The 23,521-nt window shown below is 34.9% G+C and overlaps 1 protein-coding gene and 1 pseudogene across 4 annotated transcripts in view; one reads left to right on the top strand and one right to left on the bottom strand.

Moving 5' to 3' along the window:
* Window positions 1-23,521, top strand: part of ATL1 (atlastin GTPase 1) — a 99,987-nt gene that overhangs the window by 34,514 nt on the left and 41,952 nt on the right. For all 4 annotated transcript variants that reach the window (XM_047431430.1, NM_001127713.1, NM_181598.4 and 1 more), the window contains 2 exons: window positions 20,236-20,483; window positions 23,346-23,480. In XM_047431430.1, the coding sequence (XP_047287386.1) occupies window positions 20,236-20,483; window positions 23,346-23,480 (383 nt within the window). The remainder of the gene's footprint in view (window positions 1-20,235; window positions 20,484-23,345; window positions 23,481-23,521) is intronic.
* SNRPGP1 (small nuclear ribonucleoprotein polypeptide G pseudogene 1) lies at window positions 4,179-4,578 on the bottom strand (annotated as a pseudogene).

Below are 23,521 nucleotides of genomic sequence, written 5' to 3' on the forward strand. Positions count from 1 at the left end.
TTAAATTTTTTCATATCTTCGCCAACACTTGTTATGTTCTGTTTTTTAAAAAATAGTTGTCATTCTAATGGATGTGATGTGATATCTCATTGTAGTTTTGATTAGCAATTAATATTATGATTTCTCTTGTGATTTTTTCTTTGATCATTTGTTGTTTAAGAGTGTGTTGTTTAATTGCCACAAATTTGTGAATTTTCCAGTTTTCATTCTGTTACTGATTTCCAACTTCATCTCATTGTGGTTGAAGAAAATATTTAGTATTATACCTATCTTTTTAAAATGTATTGAGACTTAATATGTGGACTCCCTTATAGTCTATCTGGAGAATGTTCCAGGTACACAAGAGAAAAATGTGTATTCTATTGTTGTTGGCTAGAATGTCTGTATTTGTCTGTTAGGTCTAATTGGCACATTGTGTTGTTCAAGTTCTCTATTTCTTTGCACGTCTTTATTTCCTTTTTGTTTGTTTGTTTTATCCATTATTGAGAATAGGATATTGAAGTCTCCAACTGTTAGTATAGAACTATTTCTTCTTTCAATTCTGTCAACTTTTGCTTCATATATTTTGATACAGTGTTCCTAGGTACATAGATTTTTGTCATTGTTATATATTCAAATGCCGTATTAAAACTTTTATTAGTATATGATGTCCTAGCCAGGTATGGTGGTATGCACCTGTAGTCTCAGCTATTCCAGAGGCTGAGGCAGGAGGATCCCTTGAGCCCAGGAGTTTGAGGCTATAATGTGCTATGATTTGGCCTGTGACTAGCCACTGTACTCCAGCCTGGACAACATAACAAGATATTGTCTCTAAAAAAAAAACCAGTTCTTTGTTTTCTGTTAACTTCTGTGGTTTTTTAAAGGCTATCTTTTCTGATATTAGTATTGCCACCTCTACTCTCTTTTGGTTTATATTTACGTGGAATATCTTTTTCCACCCTACCACTTTCAATCTGCTTGTGTCTTTGGATCTAAAGCAAAGCTCTTATAGACAGCATAGAGTTGGATCATGTTTTTAAATCCATTCTGCCAATCTCTTTCTTTTGATTGGAGAGTTTATATCTGTTTACATTTAAAGTAATTACTGATAAGGTGTGACTTCTTTTGTTTGTCTTGCTGTTTTCTATTTGTCTTATAGCTTTTTTGTCTCTCATTTCCTGCATTACTGCGCATTACTCTCTGTTGTGTTCAGTTGATTTTTATAGTGTAATGTTTTAATTCGCTTATCATTTCCCTTTGTGCACATTTTTCTAGCTTTTTTTTGTGGTTACCATGGAGATTACATTTAACATTCTAAAGTTGTAACACTCTAATTTGAATTTATACTAGTTTAATTTTAATAACATACAAAAATTCTTCTCCTTTACATGTCCATCCTCACCCCTTTCAGTTATTGGTATCATAAAAGTATACATATTGTGTGTCCAAAACACATAAACTAGTAACTGTTTTTTTAAAATGCACTAGTTTCTCAGCTGGGCATGGTGACTCATGGCTATAATCCAAGCACTTTGGGAGGATGAGGTGGGAGGACTGCTCGAGCCCTGGAGTTCAAGACCAGGAATTCGGGTCAATATGGCAAAACCCTTTCTCCACAAAAAAAAAAATGCAAAAATTATCCAGGTGTGGTGGTGCATGCCTGTAGCCCCAGCTACTCCGGAGGCTGAAGTAGTAGAATCACTTGGGCCCAGGAAGTTGAGGCTGCATTGAGCCATGATCATGCCACTGCATTCTAGCTTGGGCAACAGAGAAAGACTCTGTCTCATTGAGCTGTGATCATGCCACTGCATTCTAGCTTGGGCAACAGAGAAAGACTCTGTCTCAAAAAAAAAAAAAATACATTACTTTCTTAAATTATATAGAAAACAAAATGTGGAATTACAGACCAAAATTACAAGTATTATTATATTAGCTTTTGGACTTACAGTTTTTTTTAAAAGTATTAGTCTCTTAAACCATATAGAATACCAAAGATGAAGCTACAAACTGTTGTTAAAATAATACTACCTTTAATGATTGCCCATGTATTTACCTTTACTGAGATTTTTATTTCTTCATGTGGCTTTAAGTTACTGTGTAGTGTCGTTTCATTTCAACATGCAGGACTGATTACCATTAGCATTTCTTGAAAGGCAGGTCTAGTGGTAACAAACTCCAGCTTTTGTTTATCTGGGGATGTCTTAATTTATTCCTCATTTTTGAGGGACAGGGCTGCTGGATATAGGATTTTTAGTTGACAGGTTTTTTTTCTTTCAGCACTTAGACTATGTCTGCCCACTGCTTTTTTGCTTCCAAAGTTTCTGATGTGAAATTTGCTGACAATCTTGTTAATAATCCCTTATATGTGATATGTCACTTCTCTCTTGTTGTTTTCAAATTTTTCTCTTTGTCTTTGGCCTTTGACAGTTTGATTATAATGTGTCTCAATGTGGGTCTCTTTGAGTTCATCCTACTTAGAATTTGCTGAACTTCTCAGATGTTTATCTTTCATCAAACTTGGAAAGTTTTCAGCTATTATTCTACAAATAATCTCTCTGCCACTTTCTCTTTCTTTTCTTCTTCTGTAACTATTACAATGTGTATGTTGGTTCATTTGATGGTGTCCCACAGGTTTGTTAAGCTCTATTCAGTTTTCTTCAATCTTTTTTCTTTCTATTCTTCAATGACTTGATAATTTCTATTTTCCTAATCTTCAAGTTTGCTGATTTTTTTTGTCTGCTCAAATCTGTCTCTGACTACCTCTAGTGAATTTTTCATTTCAATTATTATATTTTTAAGCTTCTTTTTTTCTTCTTTTAAAGATAGGGTCTCACTCTGTTGCCCAGGCTAGAGTGTAGTGGTATGATCAGAACTCACTGCAGCCTCAAAATCCTGGCCACAAGTGATCCTCTCACTTCACCTTCCCAAAGTACTTAAGTTACAGGCATGAACCACCTTGCTCAGTGTGGAATTTCTTTTTGGTTTATTTTTAGGTTTCCTGTCTTTTTACTGAAATTTGTATTTTGTTTGTATGTCATTTTCTTGACTTTCTCCATGTCTCCTGCTGGTTCTTTGAGTATTTATAAGACAGTGGTTTTAAAGTAATTGTTGAGTAGGGTTGCCATATTGTCTTTCTCTAGGACAGTTTCTGTTTTATTTTTTTCCCTTAAATGGCCAGTACTTTCTTCTTTCTTTGTATACTTTGTGATTTGTTGAAAACTGGACATTTGAAACTAATAATGTGGTAACTCTGGAAGTCAGAATTTCTCTCTTTCCCACAGTTTGCTATTTTTTCTTTTTGTTTTAATTGTTGTAGGATGTCTCCATGTCAAGGATCAGCCTGAGATGTAAACTTAAGATCTTCACGGTCTTTTCTGAGCCTGTGCCTTTCCCTGGGCAGTAACTAATTTCCTCTGTGTATGCAGTTGCTTTTGAATGTCCTAGTCTTTAGTGTCTGGTTTTCAAAAGTGGGTGGGAAAGAAAAATGAAGGGGTAGTTAAAGGAACCTGCCCTTTAAGTACCCTGGAAGTCACTTGAGCTAGAGTGGGAGGGGCTTCCAACAATGAGAGGTGGGGTGTGCAACAAGGACAGCTCACCTGTATCTGCACCTCCATGATCAGAAGCAGCAATTATCAACCAGAATACAGATCTCCAAATTTTGGAGGACAGGGGTTCTTATTCCCACTTTGGCTCCCACAACCTGCATTCAAGCTGCTCCAGGAACACATGCATGGCTGCCTGCCATGGGACTGGGAGATATGGGATGTGTAGCTCCTGCTAAGCTAAGAGCTAAAATTGACTGAAATTAACTGCAATTTACTATCCAAGCTTATCCCTGGAAGTTTCAAGTTTTTAATGGATTCCAGAGTTCTTCTCAGAACTCTTTCCAGTCTCACTTCATCAGATTAAGACTTCATCAGATTTCTCCTTTATTCATAATTATTAGTATTTACAAATCATCACTGGATATTGAATTTTAACAAATGCCTTTCCTGCATTCATTCAAATAATTATATGGTTTTTCTTTTCTAGTTTGTTAATACGTTTAATTAGATCAATAGATTTTTTATGTTGAGGTGATCTTGCATTTCTAGAATAAATCCAGGCTAGTCATGTTGTATTTCCTTTTTTAATACATTACTGGGTTTGCTAATCTTTAGATTACAATATTTGCAAGCATGTTTACAACTAATTTTCTTTTTTTGACTATTACAAAAGTTTATTTAACAAAAAGTCTAATATGAAAATGTACATGACCTAATTTTTACATAATTTTTACCTAACTTAACAGGCCCTTTGGAGAGGCGACATGGATTTCTCTGCTGAATGGTCATTATTTATACATTCCAAGTCTTCTAACATGATGGTACTATTTCCTTGCATTACCACCATTCCAATATTGTTTTGTTGCCCGCTAGTTGCCATCTCCACACATTTATCTATCACAAGATTCATAAAGGGATCAAATCCCCACAATATTCCTTGGACATGTCTGCCACCATTTAATTTCAGTTATAACTTCTTGTCCATAAATTTTTTTAAATCCAGAGGGTGAGCTTTGCTCATGGTGTCTTTTCCGTGGGCTTACAGATCACTGAATTTCCTTTCTTGCACTTTCTTTGTCTGACTTTGATATCAAGGTATCAAGGTTATACTAATTTTATAAAATGAGTAGGGGACATTTCCTTTTTAAAAAAAATTCTCTGTAAGAATTCATGTAAGATTAGGATGATCTAGTTTGAGAAAACTAGTCTATTAAACCTCCTGGACCTGCCATATAAGATTTTGAACTGTTCATTCAATTTCTGTTTTGGTTATAGAATAATTAAAGTTTTCTATTTCTTCTTGAGTCAGTTTTAGTAATTTACATTTTTCTTGAAATCTATCCATTTCATCAAGCTGGCATAAGATTGTTCTAAGTTTTCTGTTATTTTCTCTGCTTAATTTTGTTTATGTGTACCTTCCTTAGTATATCTTTTATCATGTGATTTCTCCTTTTTTCTTTTCTATTTATTTAATTTCTGTGCATCTCTATTATTATACTTTCTTTTGGTTTATTCTATATTTTATTCTTTGTAACTTAAGAAGTTGGATACTGAGCTCGTACATTTTCAGCTTTTCTTCTTTTTCTGATCTATGCATTTAAGGCTATAAGTTTTTTCTACATAACAATTTTGCTCTATCCTATATATGTTGATATGTAGTAGATTTATTATTGTTCAGTTTTAAGTATTTTACTGTGTCATATTAGTCTATTCTCATGCTGTTATAAGGATATACCCTAGACTAGGTAATTTATAAATGAAAGAGGTTTAATTGACTCACAGTTCTGCATGGCTGGGGAGGCCTCAGAAAACTTACAATCATGGCATAAGGGGACGCAAACACATCCTTCTTCACATGGTTGCAGGAGAGAGAAGCGCAGAGCTAATGGGGTAAAAGCCCCTTACAAAACCATCAGATCTCATGAGAACTCACTCACTATCATGAGAACAGCATGGGGGAACTATCCCCATGATCTAATCACCTCCCACGAGGTCCTTCCCCCAACATATGGAAATTACAATTCGGATTACAATTCAAGATGACATTTGGGTGGGGACACAGAGCCAGACCATATCAGTGTCCATAATATTTTTTTTACCCATGAATATAGAAAAAGTATGGATTTTTCTAAATTAATGTTTTGTTCTTGATTTCATACTTAATTTTGTTATAGTCAGAATATATTTTGTATCGCACCACTTTCTATGGTAATGGAAATGTTTTGTGTCTGCACTGTCCAATATGGTAGCCATTAGTCATATGTGGCTATTGAGCACTTGAAATGTGGCTAGTGAGAATGAGGACCAAATCCTTAATTTTTGATTGATTTAAATAGTCACATATGGCTACTGGCTACAATACTGAGCAGTTCATGTTCATAGAACACCCATGCTTTGAACTTGGTTGAAATTCGATTTATGTACTAATGCATTTTTAATTTTTATAAATATCTCATGTACATTTGAAAAGCATTTCATGTTTCCTGATTTTTGATGCGGTATGCAATATATGTCCATTAGCTCAAATCTACTAAAAGTATTGTTCATATCTTCTATACTCTGATTTTGGACTGCTTTATCTACCAAATACTGATATCTGATAGATACTTTAAAGTTCTCAGATATGTTTTTTAAAAAAACATGAAGTGGATTTGTCAGTTTCCCCTTCTGTTCTGTTATTTTGCTCATAGACCTTTGAACTATGTTAAGTGTGCACAAATGTGGAATTGTTACATCTTCCTAATAAGTTTAACCTTTTATTTTTATGCCACAAACCTCTTTATCTCTCATGACACTTTTTGCCCTGAAGTCTATTTTATCTGATATTAATGTAGATGCTTTATGTTTCTTTTGCTGGTTTAGTTTCTGGTACTACTGAGCTGGGGTAGCTGGGGAAGGAGACTGACTGATAACCGTAAAATGAGTCACCTTGTGTACCTAATTACCTAGAGGCTCCTCAGCAGTGAATGCCCTTTGGAGGACATTCACCTGGGACTGAATATCCTTATACTCCGTGCCTGTTCCAAAGCTCTATCACATATTTCTTCCAAGTGCCTGATTATCTGGTGGAAGTGTTAGCTACTGTCCACAAATTGGTGTAGTTCTGTGCCTTTGCCATGTGCTGCAAGTCTCATGGCTGCTGTCAGTTCACTTATCTATTCTTTCTGTTAGAAGGCAATAATGGCTTTTCCTTCACCCTGTCTTCCAAAAGTCATGAATGCTTTTCACTGGCAAAATCTAAACAAGAGCTCTCCCAAGAAAGGATTGCAAGAATTGTAGTGCTGTAGTTTCAGTCTCTGCAGTATATTTCCAATCTCTGCAATATAGAGAACAGCTTAGAATGATTGAGCATGACACAGACAAAATTCAGCACAAAGAGTAATCATCCATTTTCAATATAGCTGACTCAAAGATGATTAAAGGACCAGGTAATTCTTTAGAAAACAACTGTGTCTAAAACTGACTTTTTTCAGTGACTACAAAGGCATATGTATTTGTTTTTCTTAGCGGGAATTGTGCCTTCCATCTGTTCTTCTTAAAACATGTGAACATATTTTCTTATGATTAGGTTTTTTTCTATACCATGATTTCAAATGGCTCCATATCTTGTATAATAGAGCTGTGAAATAATTTATTTACAGTATCCTACAGTTAGACATTTAGATTGTTTCCAATTTGTCACTATGTAAATAATGTTGTCATGAACCTCTATGTAAATAAATACGCATGGAATTGTTTTATTAAAAGGTATGTGTATTTTTAAATGTTTTTCATTGTTTTCAATACTGAGTGTGTGTGTGTGTGTGTGTGTGTGTGTGTATATATATATATATATATATATATATATATATATATATTAGCTTTTACTAGTTATGATAGCCAAAAAGACTATCTCTTTTTTCCTCTCTCTCTGGTCCTTGATTTAGGAAGGCTATCTATTTTAATTAGTTTGTCTTTAATTACTGGAAAGACTTAGCTTTCCCCCCATGTCTATTAGCCATTTATATTTCTATTTTTATTAGTGACTTACTTTTCTACACACACACATACACACACATGCACAGTGCCCTCATCATCATGTCATTGTTCTTCTAGAGAGATCCATTGAATGGTTTATGGAATTCTTTTGTGTCCAATATAAATAAATAGGTTGTTATATAAATGACTGACTCAACTTCTTCCAAGGCCTTCATGTTGCAGGATCTGCATTAATCCTTTTAACCCTCTTCTTCAAGGCTATCATTAACAGCAGAGCTATCTGAGAGTCTGTACGGAAGTGTTTTGAGATCTATTACATATAATCCCATATCTCTACTGTTGCTCTAACATTCTTAAGATTCACATTTATGAGTTAGTATTTTGTTTTTGTTTCCTTATCTCTGTTTGTCTCTGTATAAACTCTTTTGCTGTTACTTTGGAAGTCATTCTCAGTTTTTCATTCACACAATGTTTTTGATGTCATTCTCTTTAAGTTCTACTGCTAGGAAGGGACATAAATAGTTTAAGAAAAAGTAACAGTTCTTTTTAATTTTAGTTGCCAAGAGATAGTTTCCTTGGTGGTATGTTTTTTTCTCTATAATGGCTGCAATATACCCAGAGTTTGTCATCTTACTTAGTTTATGCTGGAAAAATAGATTTTTTTTTACAAAGTTTACAATTAAGAAAATTAGAAATACACTTCCACAACATTTCTAGTATATGAATATGATTATTCTCCACATTTGACATTTTTGAAGATTCCCCTTCTACATGGCTAAATTCAGTAGCTGAGTGCCAGCTTCCAGTAACTCAGAACACCACATAGAATGAAAAAGTCCCCTAAGTCCCTATAGTGATTGAATATAAGACCAAGTGTATAAAAAGGTGAAATGATATACAGACTATCCTCAACTTATGATGGTTTGACCTATGGGTTTTCAATTTTACAATGGTTTGAAAGCAATACCTATTCAGTAGAAATCATACTTCAAGTACCCATATAACCATTCTTTTTTCACTTTCAATACAGTATTCAATAAATTACATAAGATAGTCAACACTTTGTTATAAAATAGGCTTTGTGTTAGATTATCTCACCCAGTTGTAGGCTAACGTGTTTTGAGGATGTTTAAGGTGGGGTAGATTAAGCTGTAATGTTCAGGAGGTTAGGTGTATCAAATGCATTTTCAACATATATTTTCAACGTATGATGGTTTTATCAGGATGTAACCCTATTGTAAGTTGAGGAGCATCTGTATAGTTGGTTCTTTCCTTCCTTGTGAGCTGTACATTTGTATTATTCACAGTAAAGTGCTAGTTTCCATCTGGTTTACTTCTGACCTGTTTCCTGCCCCCTCTCTCTTTAGGATTTGCACAGTATTCTGGGAATTGAAACTGAGTTTAATTTAGCAAAACATATTTAAGAAAAAAGAAATCTGGTGCTGAGGAAACTTGTTATGCATTCCAAAGGATTTCTGAATGAAAAAAAAATTTTAGAGACAGGGTCTCATTCTGTTGCCCAGGTTGAAGTACAGTTACATGATCATAGATCACTGTAATCTGCTATTTCTGGACCCAAGTGATCCTTCTACCTCAGCCTCCTGAGTAACTAGGACTACAGGCATGTGCCTCCATGTTTGGCTAATATTTTAATATTTTTGGAGAGATGGCACCTTGCTGTGTTGCCTAGGCTTGTCTCGAACTCCAGAGCTCAACCGATCCTCCTGCCTCACCTTCCCAAAGTGCTGGGATTACAGATATGAGCCACCATGCCCAGCCTATTTTAGATTAGCAAGGATAATATTTATTGTGTATATAATATATAGTTACAAATAATGAGTCGAGTACATAATATTTGTTCTTAGTAATACCCTGAAGTCCAATATTTTTCAGTTATTTGTATTAAATTTATGTAAATATTTATTGAGCACCTACTGTGTGTAAACTTCTGTTATAAGTTTTTGTTTGTTTGTTTTTGTTTTTGAGATGGAGTCTTGCTCTGTCGCCCAGGCTGGAATGCAGTGGCGCAATCTCAGCTCTCTGCAACCTCCACCTCCCGGGTTCAAGCGATTCTCCTGCCTTAGCCTGCCGAGTGGCTGGGACTACAAGCGTGTGCCACCATGCCCAGCTAATTTTTTGTATTTTTAGTAGAGACAGGGTTTCACCGTGTTAGCCAGGACGATCTCAATCTCCTGACTTCGTGATCTGCCCCGCCTTGGCCTCCCAAAGTGCTGGGGTTACAGGCCTGAGCCACTGTGCCCAGGCTATACATTTTTAAGAAATACAAAGATGAATAATACAGTCTCTGCTCTCTAAATATTTTTAGTCTAGTTTTTCGGTTTTGTTATTTTACAGAAACTGAAGTTTTTCTAAATAGTTTTTTAACAGCTTTATTGAAATATAATTTATATTCCACATAATTCACCCACTTAAAGTGTAGAATTCACTGGTTTTAGTATATTCAGAGTATATTTAGTATATATAATTCTGAAATTATTATAGTTTTAGAACATTTTCATTAGCTCCCAAAAGAAACCTTATATCTGTTAGCCATCACCCTCCATACCCTTCCTACTCCCCAGCTCTGGGTAACCACCAATCTACTTTCTGTTTCTATAAATTTGCCTAATTCTATACATTTCTATGTAAATGGAATTATACAATATGTGGTCCTTAGTACTGGCTTCTTAACATAGTGTTTTCAGGATTCATCCTATTATAGCATGTATTGGTACTGCATTTCTTTTTATTGCTGAATAATATTTCATTGTATGGATATACCACATTTTATCTGTCCATTTATTAGTTGATAGCCATTTAGAGTGTAGCTTTTCTAAACACTTTTATATGTAAATGTTGATTACCATAATTATATGTATGGGCTGATGTTAATGATAGGTTTCTTTCTTAACTGTAAGTGACATACAAACTAATGGCTATATATTTATAAATATTCCACAAATTCATTCTATTCTATTATTTATTCTCTCATGTAATAACAAATGATTTCTGTATTTTTAAAAGTCTCTATACCAAGAAGGAATATTTAATATGGTATTTTGCTTACATAGACAGAATGAGACTTCTTTGTATAAAGCATCTCAGTATTTGATACTGAGTGATAAACAAATATCACAACTCAGGTATTTGTTTTATTTTGTAGCCTATGTAAGTCATGGTTAATAGACAATCTCCCTCCTCTTCATTAATTCCATGTGTAACTCTTCAAGAGCCTTGAACATATAAATGTAAAGTTCAGAGTTATCTACCTAACCCACACCTGGTATACAAAGGCAGACAAGGAAAGGATAATCAGATACCAACATCCACTGAAGTGTTTTCCATTACTCTCACCCATAATATCCACTCTGTTCCAAATCCTTTCATATTTGTGCTCTGTCTTACTCTTCCTGACCTGGCCCCTCATAACCTTTTCAACCTGCTCCATGCATATTGTACTACTTGCTATTCTTAAACATGCCAAACACACTCTCCCACACACTTTTTTTTCAGAGTTATACCATATTGTACACACTGTATTATACTGAGTTATTTCTTATGATATATATTGGGCAATTGTTCCAAATGAACTTCCTCATTCTTTACAATTATGTTTCACAAGAGGATGAACCATAATTTATTAATCAGTCCCTCATTGATGGACATTTACATTGTTTCTGGTGTTTTGCATATGTATGAGTATATCTGCAAATGAATTCTTTGAAATAGCATTGCTGGGTCAGGAATACATATATTTGTGTTTTTCATAGTTATTTGCCAAATTGCAGCCCAAAGATGCTGTATCCATTTTAATTCCCACCTGTAGTATCTGTGAGTACAAGTTTACATCTGAACTAATGAAAATAATTATTACACTTTTGATCTTTGTAAATCCAATATGTGAAAAAGTTATCAATATATTTTTTCATTTTTATTTGCATGATGGTGAATATCTTTTTATATGTATGGAGTCATTTAATATTGTGGGTTTTGTCAGTTGCTTATTTGTGTCTTTTGTCCACTTCTCCTCCACCAGGTGTAGGTCTGTGATTTATTTGGAACTGGTTTTTGTGTATGGTGAGAGCTAAGGATGATGGCTCATTTTCCCCACACATGAATATTCAATGGATTTAGCATCATTTATTGAAAAGATCTCCTTTTCTTATCTATTGCAGTGGCACCTTTGTTGTAAATCAGATGATTGTATATGTGTGGGTCTGTAGTCTTTTCTATTGGTCTGTTTGTTTATACTTGTGATAATTTCACTCTGTCTTCATTACCATAGATTTTAATTATCTATTGGTGTCTGTTAGTGTAAGTCCCCCAATTTTGTTCCTCTTCAAGGTTGTCTTTGTTATTCTTGGCTTTTTGCCTTTCCATACAAGCTTATTAATTTGCATAATAAAGATTTATGCAACAGAGAAATAAGCTTGTTAATTTGTACAAGAAAGATTGCTGAAAATTTGATTTGGGTTATAATCAATCTATTGATCAATGGGAAGCATCGACACATTCACAATATAGAGCTTTCTAATCTGAGAACATGTATATCCCTCTTTCAGTAATGTTTTATATTTTTCTGCAGAGGTCTTAAATGTCTTTCATTAGATTTCAGTGGTATGTTGGAGCCAGCTCCTACTAGTTCATGAGAGCTGATCGGGTACATCTCTTCCTGGCTCCACATTCAGTAAATCACATTGTGAGACTAAAGTGGGCCATGGTGGTAGTATTTATATCACAGAAATTGGCAAATGTCACAAATCAGGACTTTTCCCCACCTACCCACTGCTAAGAGCTGGTTATTAAACATTTGCCAACACATCACTTAGATTGATTACTAGATGATCAGGTTTTATAATGCTATGTAAATATTTTTTCTCACTAAAAATAATTAAGTTATAATCTACATACAGTAAAATTAACTTTTTTAATCTACTGCTCTGTGACTTGTGAGAAATTTATATAGTCACGTTATGACTACCACAATCAATATTTAGAACTGTTCCATTACCCCAGATAATTTTCTCTATGTCTTTAGAGTCAGCTCTAAAGTTGAATGTATCACGGTTATTTATCCATTCCCTAGTTAATGGAAATTTGGGTTGTTCACAGTTTTTAGCAAATATGAATAAAACTGCTATAAACATATTTGTGCAGGTTTGCGTCTGAACACGGGTTTTCACTGACTTTGGGAGAAAGCTTTCAGTATTTTAACAGTAAATGTAACATTAGCTATATTTGTAGATACCATTTATTAGATTAAGGAATTTTTCTTCTATTCCTACTTTGCTGTGAGGTTTTTTTGGTTTTGTTTTCTTTCTTTAATCAGGAATGACTATTACATTTTCATACCTACTTTTATGCATCTACTGAAATAATCATATGTCTGTCTCTGTTATGCAATGTGGTGAATTATGTTAATTGTCTCTGAATGTTAAATTAACCTTGAATTCCTATAATAGATACCATGTGTTTGTGATATTTAAAAAATTTATGTCTGGATTTTATTTGCTATATTTTGTTTAGAGCTTTTGAGTTTATCTTGATAACAGATACTGGCTTATGATTTTCCTTTTTTATAATGTCCTTGTCAGTTATTGGTATCAGAGTTAGTCTGACATTATAAAATAAGTTGAGAATGGTCTCTTATTTTCTGTTTCTTAGAAGTTTGTGTAAGATTGCTCTTCGTTGTTTTCTAAATGTTTAGAAGAGTTCACCAGGGAAGCTGAGCCTGGAATTTCCTTTGCATGAAGGTTTTAAATTATGAATTTAATTTTTTCTAGGTATAACAGTATTCATAGTTATTTGTCTTATGTGGTTTTTTTATAAGTGATACTTTTAATTTGTTCATTTCATCAGAGTTATCAAATTTATTGTCATAAAATTACTCATAATATCCCCATATTATTTTAAAAAATCTGTAGGATCTATAGTATCTTTTTTTATATCTAATATGAGTAATTTGTGGGTTTTTTCTCTTATTTTCTTTGATCAGTCTTATATTATTAAGTTAATCTCACTGATCTTGATTTCTAGTTCATTTATTTTTGACCATTATTTCCTATCTTTTCTTGTCTTTGAATCTAATTTGATATTCTTTTTACTGTTTCTTGACATAGATATTAGCTTATGATTTTTTTCAAGCATCTTTACTACTTTATGCATTTCAAAGTTTAAGTTTCCTCTAAGCAAGTTTTTTATATGTCATATTTTAAATATTTCAATATAAATAAGATACTACGACCTAACATATTGATTCAATATTTATATGAAAAGGGTCAAAATAGCCAAGACTGATAGTAATTAGAAGATAAGAGGGCTTGTCCTATTAACATATAATGGCTTTTCATAAAGCTATTTTAATGAATATAGTGTAGTATTGGTGCTGTCAAAGACAAATTGACAAATAGATCAGAACATTCATCAGATCATTTAGTTCACAATATTTTCTAGTTTTCATTGTACTTTCTTCTTTATTCCATAGGTTATTTAGATTTATTGCTTAATTTCCAAACATTTAGAGATTTTCTTAATATCTTCTTGTTACTGATTTCTGGTTTAATTCCTTTATGATGAGATAACATATTCTTTCTTACTGTAATTCTTTGAAGTTTATTGAGATCTGATTTATAAGCCAGTACCTAGGCTATTTGGTAAATGTTCCATATGAACTTAAAAAGAATGTGTGGTTCTATAATTACTAGATGTCAGATAGGTAAGGCTGGCTACTGGCTAATGATGCTGTTCAAATCTGCATATTTACTGATTTTTGTCTGAATTTTAAGGCAGTGAAAAGAAAATTCCTAGAAAGATAGAATGAACTAGAAGTATTTCAAGAACTATCAAGCTTTATTGGTACTAATATCACAATAGCAATAATAACTATTAAAGAAATTGAAATGGCCAGTCGCGGTGGCTCATGACTGTAATCCCAGCACTTTGGGAGGCCGAGGCGGGCGGATCACTTGAGGTCAGGAGTTTGAGACCAGCCTGGCCAACATGGTGAAACCCCATCTCTACTAAAAATACAAAAAATTAGCCGGGCATGGTGGCACGTGCCTGTAGTTCCAGATACTTGGGAGGCTGAGGCAGAATTGCTTAAACCCGGGAGGCAGAGGTTGCAGTGAGCCGAGATCGCGCCACTGCACTCTAGCCTGGGTGACAGAGTGAGTCTCCATCTCAACAAAAGAAATTTAAATGACAGTTAAAAATCATCTCACAAAGAAAACACCAGGTTCACAAAGTTTTACAGGTGAGTTCTATCAAAATTTCAAAGAACCGTTCACTCCAATCTTTTATTACAAACTTTTCTCTTTTTTTTTTTTTCCATAAGACGGAGTCTCACTCTGTCACCCAGGCTGGCGTGCAGTGGTGTGATCTCAGCTCACTGCAACCTCTGCCTTGTGGGTTCAAGTGATTCTCCTGCCTCAGCCTCTCAAGTAGTTGGGACTACAGGCACGCACCACCATGCCTAGATAATTTTTGTGTTGTTGTTTTTTTTTTTTTTTAGTAGAGACGGGGTTTCACCATCTTGGCCAGGTTGGTCTCAAACTCTTGACCTCAAATGATCCACCCGCCTCGGCCTCCCAAAGTGCTGGGATTACAAGTGTAAGCCACCATGCCCAGCTGCTAATTCATTTTATAAAGCTTGCATAACTTATATAATAAAACCACCCAAGGACAAAATAAGAAAGGAAAGTCATAGGCAACTCATTTATGAATATACATGCACAATTCCTAAACAAAATCTTAGCAAACTGAATCCAACATTATACTATACCCTGAGACTATTAGGTTTATATAAAAAGTGCAAATATATATTATTTGCTACACTGATATGTTGGATGTGAAAAGCTATATGATCACCTCAATAGATGCAGAAGAGATTATTTGATAAAATTCATTATTTGTTTGTGATTTTTAGAAACCCTTAGTAAACTACACATAGAATTTCCTTCATCTGATATGATAAAATGTATCTACCAAACCAAGCCCAACAAAACTGTAACAAAAGTAACCCCAATAGGCAAATATTGGAGACATTCCCTTTAAAATCAGGAAGTTATGCCTACTGAAATCAAAAGTTATGCCCATTATCACCTCTTCTATTCAACATTGCCTTGAATGTCTAATAAGTTAAGAAAAAGAAAAGACATACATAAAGATTGAAAAGTTGGAAACTGTCATTATTTGAAAATTGTATTTCTGTTTCTACATTTAAAAAACCCAAAAGTATCTACATAAATTTTACAGGAAATAATAAAGTTTAGTAAATGCTTCAATATGAGACCAATGCATTAAAGCTAATTATAGTTCTTTATCCAAACAACAACTAGAAAGTATAACTAAAACAACAACAAATAAACCAGTCATAGTTAGCAACAAAAACTACAGTGCACCTGGGACTAAATGTAATAAACCTCTTCCTACTCCCCCAAATTATAAAAACATTACCAAAGGGAATTAAAGACCAAACATAGATGGAGAGCTAGATCATGTTAATGTATTAGAAGACTTAATAGCATGAAGGTACTGATTCATTTCAAACTGATCTATAAATGTAACTTCAGTAAAGAGTTCAACTAACAGATTGATTTTAATATTTATATGGAAAGGGTTAAAATAGCCAAGACCAATAATAATTAGAAGGATAGGAGGTGCTTGCCATATTATATACAGTAACTTTTTATGAAGCTATTTTGAATAGGATAGTGTAAAATTGGTGCTGGTGTAGAGAAATTGATGAATGGATCAGAACTGAGAGCTCAGAAATGAGTCAGTGTGTATGTGGGGGTGTGTGTTTGTGTAAAACTCTTACTTATGACAAAGATCTCATGGCAGACCACTTGAGGAAAGAAGGGGCTTTGACAGAGCTCTGAAAAAATTTGTTTCTCATATTTAAAAAAGAAATGGCTTTTATCTTCCACCCTACAAATAACAACTTCTGATGGACTAGGAACTTAAGTATCAAAAGCAAACTTTAAAACATAGAAAAGTCTGGGCACCGTGGTTCATCCCTGTAATGCCAGCACTTTGGGAGGCCAAGGCACGTGGATCACTTGAGTCCAGGAATTTGAGACCAGCCTGAGCAACATGGTGAGACCCCATCTCTACAAAAAATACAGAAATTAGTGGGACTTGGTGGTTGTGTGTGCCTGTAGTCCCATCTACTCGGGAGGTTGAGGTGGGAGGATCGATTGAGCTCAGGAAGCAGAGGTTGCAGTGAGCTGAGCTCACACCACTGCACTCTGCCTGGGTAACAGAGTGAGACCCTGTCTCAAAAAACAACAAACAAATAAACTTAGAAGAATATATGTGACTATTGGCCGGGCGCGGTGGCTCACGCCTGTAATCCCAGCACTTTGGGAGGCCGAGGCGGGCAGATCACGAGGTCAGGAGATCGAGACCATCCTGGCTAACATGGTGAAACCTTGTCTCTACTAAAAATAAAAAAATAAAAAATAAAAAATGCGAGGTGGCGGGCACCTGTAGTCCCAGCTATTCAGGAGGCTGAAGCAGGAGAATGGCGTGAACCCGGGAGGCGGAGCTTGCAGTGAGCCGAGATCGCGCCACTGCACTCCAGCCTGGGCGACAGAACGAGACTCTGTCTCAAAAAAATAAATAAATAAATAAAAAATAAAATAAAATAAAATAGAATATATATGACTATCTTTCAGATCTTGTATGTGGAATCATTTCTTAAACATGGTATACAAAATGTTAACCATAAAAGAAAATATTAATAAAATCTATTACATTAAAATTAAGAATGCCTTTTCATCAATTATAGCTTAAGGAAAATGAAAAGGCAAACTCTTAGAAACTAGAAGACTCTTGCTATGCATGTAACTAACAAAGGGATAGCATTCAAAATACATAAAGAACTACAAATCAGTAAGAAAAAGACAAACTACCTAATAGAAAAACGGATAAAAGGAGTACTTATCTTATTAGCAATTAGAGAAATGTATATCAAGACCACAGTGAGATAACATTTTATACCTCTGCAACTGACAAAAACAAAGTCAGATAAAACCAAGTGTTAGAAAGGATATGGATCAATAGGATGTTAAATTGCTGGCGGAAGTGAAACATTTATATAGCCACTTAGAAAAAGACAATTTTGCTCCATGTTTTAAAGTTGAATATTTGAAAAACTTACAACCCAGAAATTCCATTTCTATGTGCATTCTCCAGTACCTTTTGCATATGTGTAGTTTGTTGCAAACAATTATTTCAGTCTATAGAAAGTTATGATCTAGTTTTCTGCCCCAAAGCTGTTTCTCTATCCAAAATATTATGTCTAGCTTGGGTCTGTGATTCACATTTGTGTGCTCAGATCATAATTAAATCATAGGCAAGGAGCGTCATCAAATAAAATATGTATTTGCTATTCTCAAAAAGGGCCTTTGTACTGAGACTGAAATTAGGTGGTAGGTAGGACTGTAATCAGACATGAATAGATAATAGTATTAATAACAGTCACCATTCATTAAGCATGTACTATTTGTCAGATTCTTCAATCTTTATTTAATGGAAATTACTTTGTTAAGTCTTCACAAAGGCTTTCTGATATGGGTACCATTATGAATCTTTTTAAAATGGAGCATAGTGAGCCATTGGGAAGCTAAATAATTTCCACAACTTTATGTTGTAAATTGTAAGGCTGGGATTTAAACAAAGGCTCTCTGACTCCAGCACCTGTGAAATGGCAATATAGAAGCTATTATCTTTCAGATAAAAAGTCAACTTTTCTTAACTTTGCAGAGAGAACAACTCTGATTCGTGGCTATAGGCAATGGTCTGTTGTCTCTAGATGCTTTGTATGATTGTTCAGAAAGTAGTGGTGTATACTTATCTCTACTCATGCAAAACTAAAATTATATATTTTCAGTATTTCAATAGCATTATTTTATAGATGAACAGCAATAAAGTTATCAATGTGATATATATATATCAATGTGATCTGAAGACTTATTTAAAATTATGCCAAGAGATGATTGCCTTGCTTTTATCTAGTTATAAAACTTCTTATCAAATAGACATCATGAAGAATGTCTACCTAAAGATATTTTCAAAAATTTAGATAAAAGATTATTTAAGAGTCCAGTTTGTTTCAAAATTATTATCATTGTCTTAGTCACTCTGGGCTGCTGTAACAGAAAATCATAGACTGGGGTGGCTTAAACAACAAACATTTATTTCTCACAGTTCTGGCAGCTGGATGAGATGAGACTGCCAGCAGGGCTGGGTTTTTTTGTAAGGGTCTTCCTCCTGGTTCATAGACTGCTTTCTTCGTGTATCCTCATAATTCAGAGAAAAGGGGCTCTGGTTCCTTAATTTTCTTATAAGGGAACTAACTCTATGATGGGAGACCCTCGTAACTTAATCTAAGCATAATCTAAGGCCTCCCAAAGGCCTCATCTCTAACATTGGGGATTAAGGTTTCTACAATAGCAATTATTGAGGGTTTCTTTGAGGCTAGGTCATATATCTGATCTGAGGAATTAATTGGTGTATGTATAGACTTTCTGTTCTTATGATATAAAGCAAACGAGCCTATGTATGTGTTGTCCAAAAGTTATTTGATTGCTACCAAAGAGGCAGAATTTTTTTTTTTTTATTGTAGTAGAAAGATCTGGGATGAAAGTTTTGACTCTTGCAATCTAATCCCAGTTTGGCAGTTACCGTCCATGTGAACTTGGACCTGTAATCTGTCACTTTCTAATAGTTGTGCTCTTGGGAAATTTAATTAGATTCTTAATTTTCTCATGTGTCAAAAATACAGATAATAATAAATACCGTACTGGAACATTACAAAGATTAAATAAATAACATGAGAAAGATATAGAAATCCTATATGAGGAAGTCTACCATTTCCTTCCTTCTAAATTCCATTTCCATCTCTTGGGCAAGGTCAGTCACATCTTTGGCTTTAATTTCCTCATCTATAATAATACCAATAGCATGCTTGAGAATCTGTGATTCTGAGCCCTTCTAGGTATTTCTTCCTATATATGTTCAGCTTTAAAAAGTATTGCAAGGATCCTTTATGTAAATAAGCTATTTCTAGGGGATAAAGAAAGTGTGAACTACAACCATTTTATTCCTCTGCTCCAAAAGTAGAGTGCTTTGCTTTGATTTTCTTTCTGACTCAGCAGACAGAGACATCTGCACTGACTTAGAGTTTTCTTGAAAAATTTTTTTGATTCAGTCATATGATCAGAAAGAACAAATGTAAGTCCTCCTGGGATATAGTGTGAATGACATTAAAATATGTCATTAAAACAAACATTTCTTTTCTTTCTTTCTTTTTTTCTTTTTCTTTTTTGAGACAGGGTCTCCCTCTATTGTCCAGGCTGGAGTGCAGTGGCACAATCATATCTCACTGTAGCCTTGACCTCCTGGGCTCAAGTGATCCTCCCACCCCCGCCTCCTGAGAGCTGGGACCACAGGCACGTGCTACCACACCTGACGAATTTTAAAATTTTTTGTATAGACAGGATCTCACTATGTTGCCCAGGGTGCTCTTGACTCCTGGGCTCAAGCGATCCTCCCACCTCAGCCTCCCAAGGTGCTAGGATTACAGGCATGAGCCACTGCACCCAGCATAAAATGAGCATTTATAATTCCAGTATGCTCCTGTGTCGGATGTTTGAGAGTTAAGAGGTACATATACATTTCTTGGCACTTTGAGATGATTAGCTGAACCAGTCACTGCTCTGTTCAACAGGTGGATTTTCGGAAAAGACATATGAATGGAGCTCAGAAGAGGAGGAGCCAGTGAAAAAGGCAGGACCAGTCCAAGTCCTCATTGTCAAAGATGACCATTCCTTTGAGTTAGATGAAACTGCATTAAATCGGATCCTTCTCTCGGAGGCTGTCAGAGACAAGGAGGTTGTTGCTGTATCTGTTGCTGGAGCATTTAGAAAAGGAAAATCATTCCTGATGGACTTCATGTTGAGATACATGTACAACCAGGTATGCAGGAAGTACTTTAAAAAGTTTTCTTTCTTCTGTGCTTCTGTCACTTCATGTTTTTATTTCATGGTGTTCAAAATTTTCATTTCTATTATTATGTACCCTATATATGAACCAGCTAAAGAAATGCTGTGGTGTAACCATTCCAACCTCAGTGCTTTGGGGACCAAACTACACAGACCAATTTTCTCTGAAGCTGCTTTGCTGCATTTCCCTTAGAATATAACTTATATTTTTATTCTTTTAAAAATAGGCACATAATATTCTGATTATAGACTTAAATGTTATAGTGTTTAAAATGTCACATAATTTTTGTATTGTAATCACTTTTTTCCAACATTTAGTATGAAATATTTCAAGCATATAGCAAAGTTAAAAAAATTTTATACTAAACATCTTGGTATCCACCACCCAGATTCTACCATTAACATTAGTATTCCTGCTTTATCACTTATGACTCCATCTATTCATCCCTCTTTCCAGCCATCACTCCAAGTTATTCTTTGATGCATTTGAAAATAAATTGCTGGCCGGGCACTGTGGCTCACGCCTGTAATCCCAGCACTTTGGGAGGCCGAGGTGGGTGGATCACGAGGTCAAGAGATCAATACCATCCTGGCCAACATGGTGAAACCCTGTCTCTACTAAAAAAAAACACACAAAAATTAGCTGGGTATGTTTTCCTTGTCCTTCAAGGTTATTTTTCAGGCTTAGGATTTTTATGAATATCTCAATGTAGATCATTGACTCAGAGTGAATGTTATGGAAATGTTATTATGCTAATTAATAATAATCACAATTTATTCATTGAAGTATGCATCCCAAGACATTTTTCCAGGTAATACCTTATTGGAAAAATTTCAATTTCTACCTCAATAGTAATTATTTATTGACTACCTGCTAAATGTTCTAGATTGTGCTAGGCACTATGGTGGATACCAAAGAAAACATACCATAGATTTTGCACTTAGGCATCTCATGGTTTGGCCAAGGAGACAGAATAACAATAGGTGAAATATTTAGAGCATCATTACATGGTGATATGGTGACAGATATATTTTTTCTTTTCTTTCTTTCTTTTTTTTTTTTTTTTTTTTTGATACAGAGTTTCACTCTTGTTACCCAGGCTGGAATGCAGTGGCGCAATCTTGGTTCACTGCAACCTCTGCCTCCCGGGTTCAAGGATTCTCCTGCCTCAGCCTCCCAAGTAGCTGGGATTACAAGCATGCGCCACCACATCTGGATAATTTTTTGTATTTTTAGTAGAGACAGGGTTTCACTATGTTGACCAGGCTGGTCTCAAACTCCTAACCTTGTGATCCACCTGCCTCGGCCTCCCAAAGTGCTGAGATTACAGACATGAGCCACCATGCCCAGCCTGATCGACGTATTTCTAAGTGTAGTTCAGGGAAGGGCATATTGTAGGCAAAAGTAACTGGAGAAAGCTTCATAGAGATATTGGAAGTTAGAATAGATTTTGAAGATGTGTGGATCTGGACCAGAAAAGGAAGAATGGACATTCTGGACTATGAGGAATAAGTATAATATATGTATTAAACAGAGTGTACACCTTCTTCCCTAGAGTGGAAATTAAGTATTGGAGATGAAGAAGAAATAAGATTGAATAGGTTATTGAGCCAGATAATAGAACAAATTCACAGAAGAACCAAAGCTCTTGATAACGGTCTAAAATGCCTTTTAGAACAAGATAGGATATAATTAAATACATTTTTCTTTAAATTAGTTTATGTAGATTTTTTATCAGTCCAAGTAGTCCTCTCCCAAATTCCTCTGCATTCGTTACTGTAAGGTTTTAGATTGGACAATTATCTAATGAGATCTTCCAAAAACTAATAACTTATTCTCTGTAACAGATATCAAAATGGGGGTAACTACTATCAACCAAGGTCACCAATTACTGACTTACTAAATCTATGGGATATTTTCCATGCCTTATCCAACTTGATCTTCAGCCTTTAAACAATTGATAATTTTTCCTATTCTGTCTTCCTTTGGCTTCTCAAACTCCACTTGCATCAGTACTTGTCTATTCCTTCCTGCTGTCCTGGCCCTGGTCAGACCTTCAATCATATTTTTGACCTTTATTATAGCACCCCCACCTTTATCTTTTCTAGCTATCATTTCCCTTCCCTACTAACTAGCCCTACCTACTTCTAGAATAGTATCTTTCTACCACAACTATGATGATAATTCATCTCTGCTTCTTCATAACTTTCCGTCGCCTGCAGGATAAAATCTGACTCCCTTAAGGACCTTACAAGGTCTTTCAGAATCTGGCTGTCTGTCCAGCCTCTTCCTGCTACTTGCTTCCTCCTCCCACAAAACCAAAGCATAATATGCTCCCTACTTCCTTCCTTTCTGCCTGCCTGCCTGCTTGCCTTCCTTTCTGGAATGCCTTCTCCAAATTTGCTTCCCTGGAAAATTCCTAAATATTTTTCAAGTCTTAGCTCAAACATCCTATGTGGTCTTGCCTGACCAATGGTTAGTTATTTATTTTCTATGCTACCATTTATGCATTATATATACTTCCATTTTGGCATGCATTTATTGCATCATAATGGTTTGTTTGCATGTCTGTCTCGCTGTTAGGCTGTGAATTTCCTCTGGTCTGCAATGATATCTTTTCATTTTTATATCCCCAGGACATATCAAAAATGTGGCAGATGGTTGCTCCTCTGTAATTATTTTTTGGATGAATAAAGTGATGGTATCAATGCAATAGATGTGCATATGTTGTTTCCTTTTAACTCGAATTGGAGAGGGATAAGAATCAGAATGAATGAATGGAAAAAACTATATACACATATCAAGTTCCATATCATAGACTTTATCATTTTATAGGAATCAGTTGATTGGGTTGGAGACTACAATGAACCATTGACTGGTTTTTCATGGAGAGGTGGATCTGAGCGAGAGACCACAGGAATTCAGATATGGAGTGAAATCTTCCTTATCAATAAACCTGATGGTAAAAAGGTATGATGCTAACTTCCTAAATAAAATTGAGTTTTCACTTA

Source organism: Homo sapiens, chromosome 14 (genome assembly GCF_000001405.40).
Source record: "Homo sapiens chromosome 14, GRCh38.p14 Primary Assembly".
Taxonomy (NCBI): domain Eukaryota; kingdom Metazoa; phylum Chordata; class Mammalia; order Primates; family Hominidae; genus Homo; species Homo sapiens.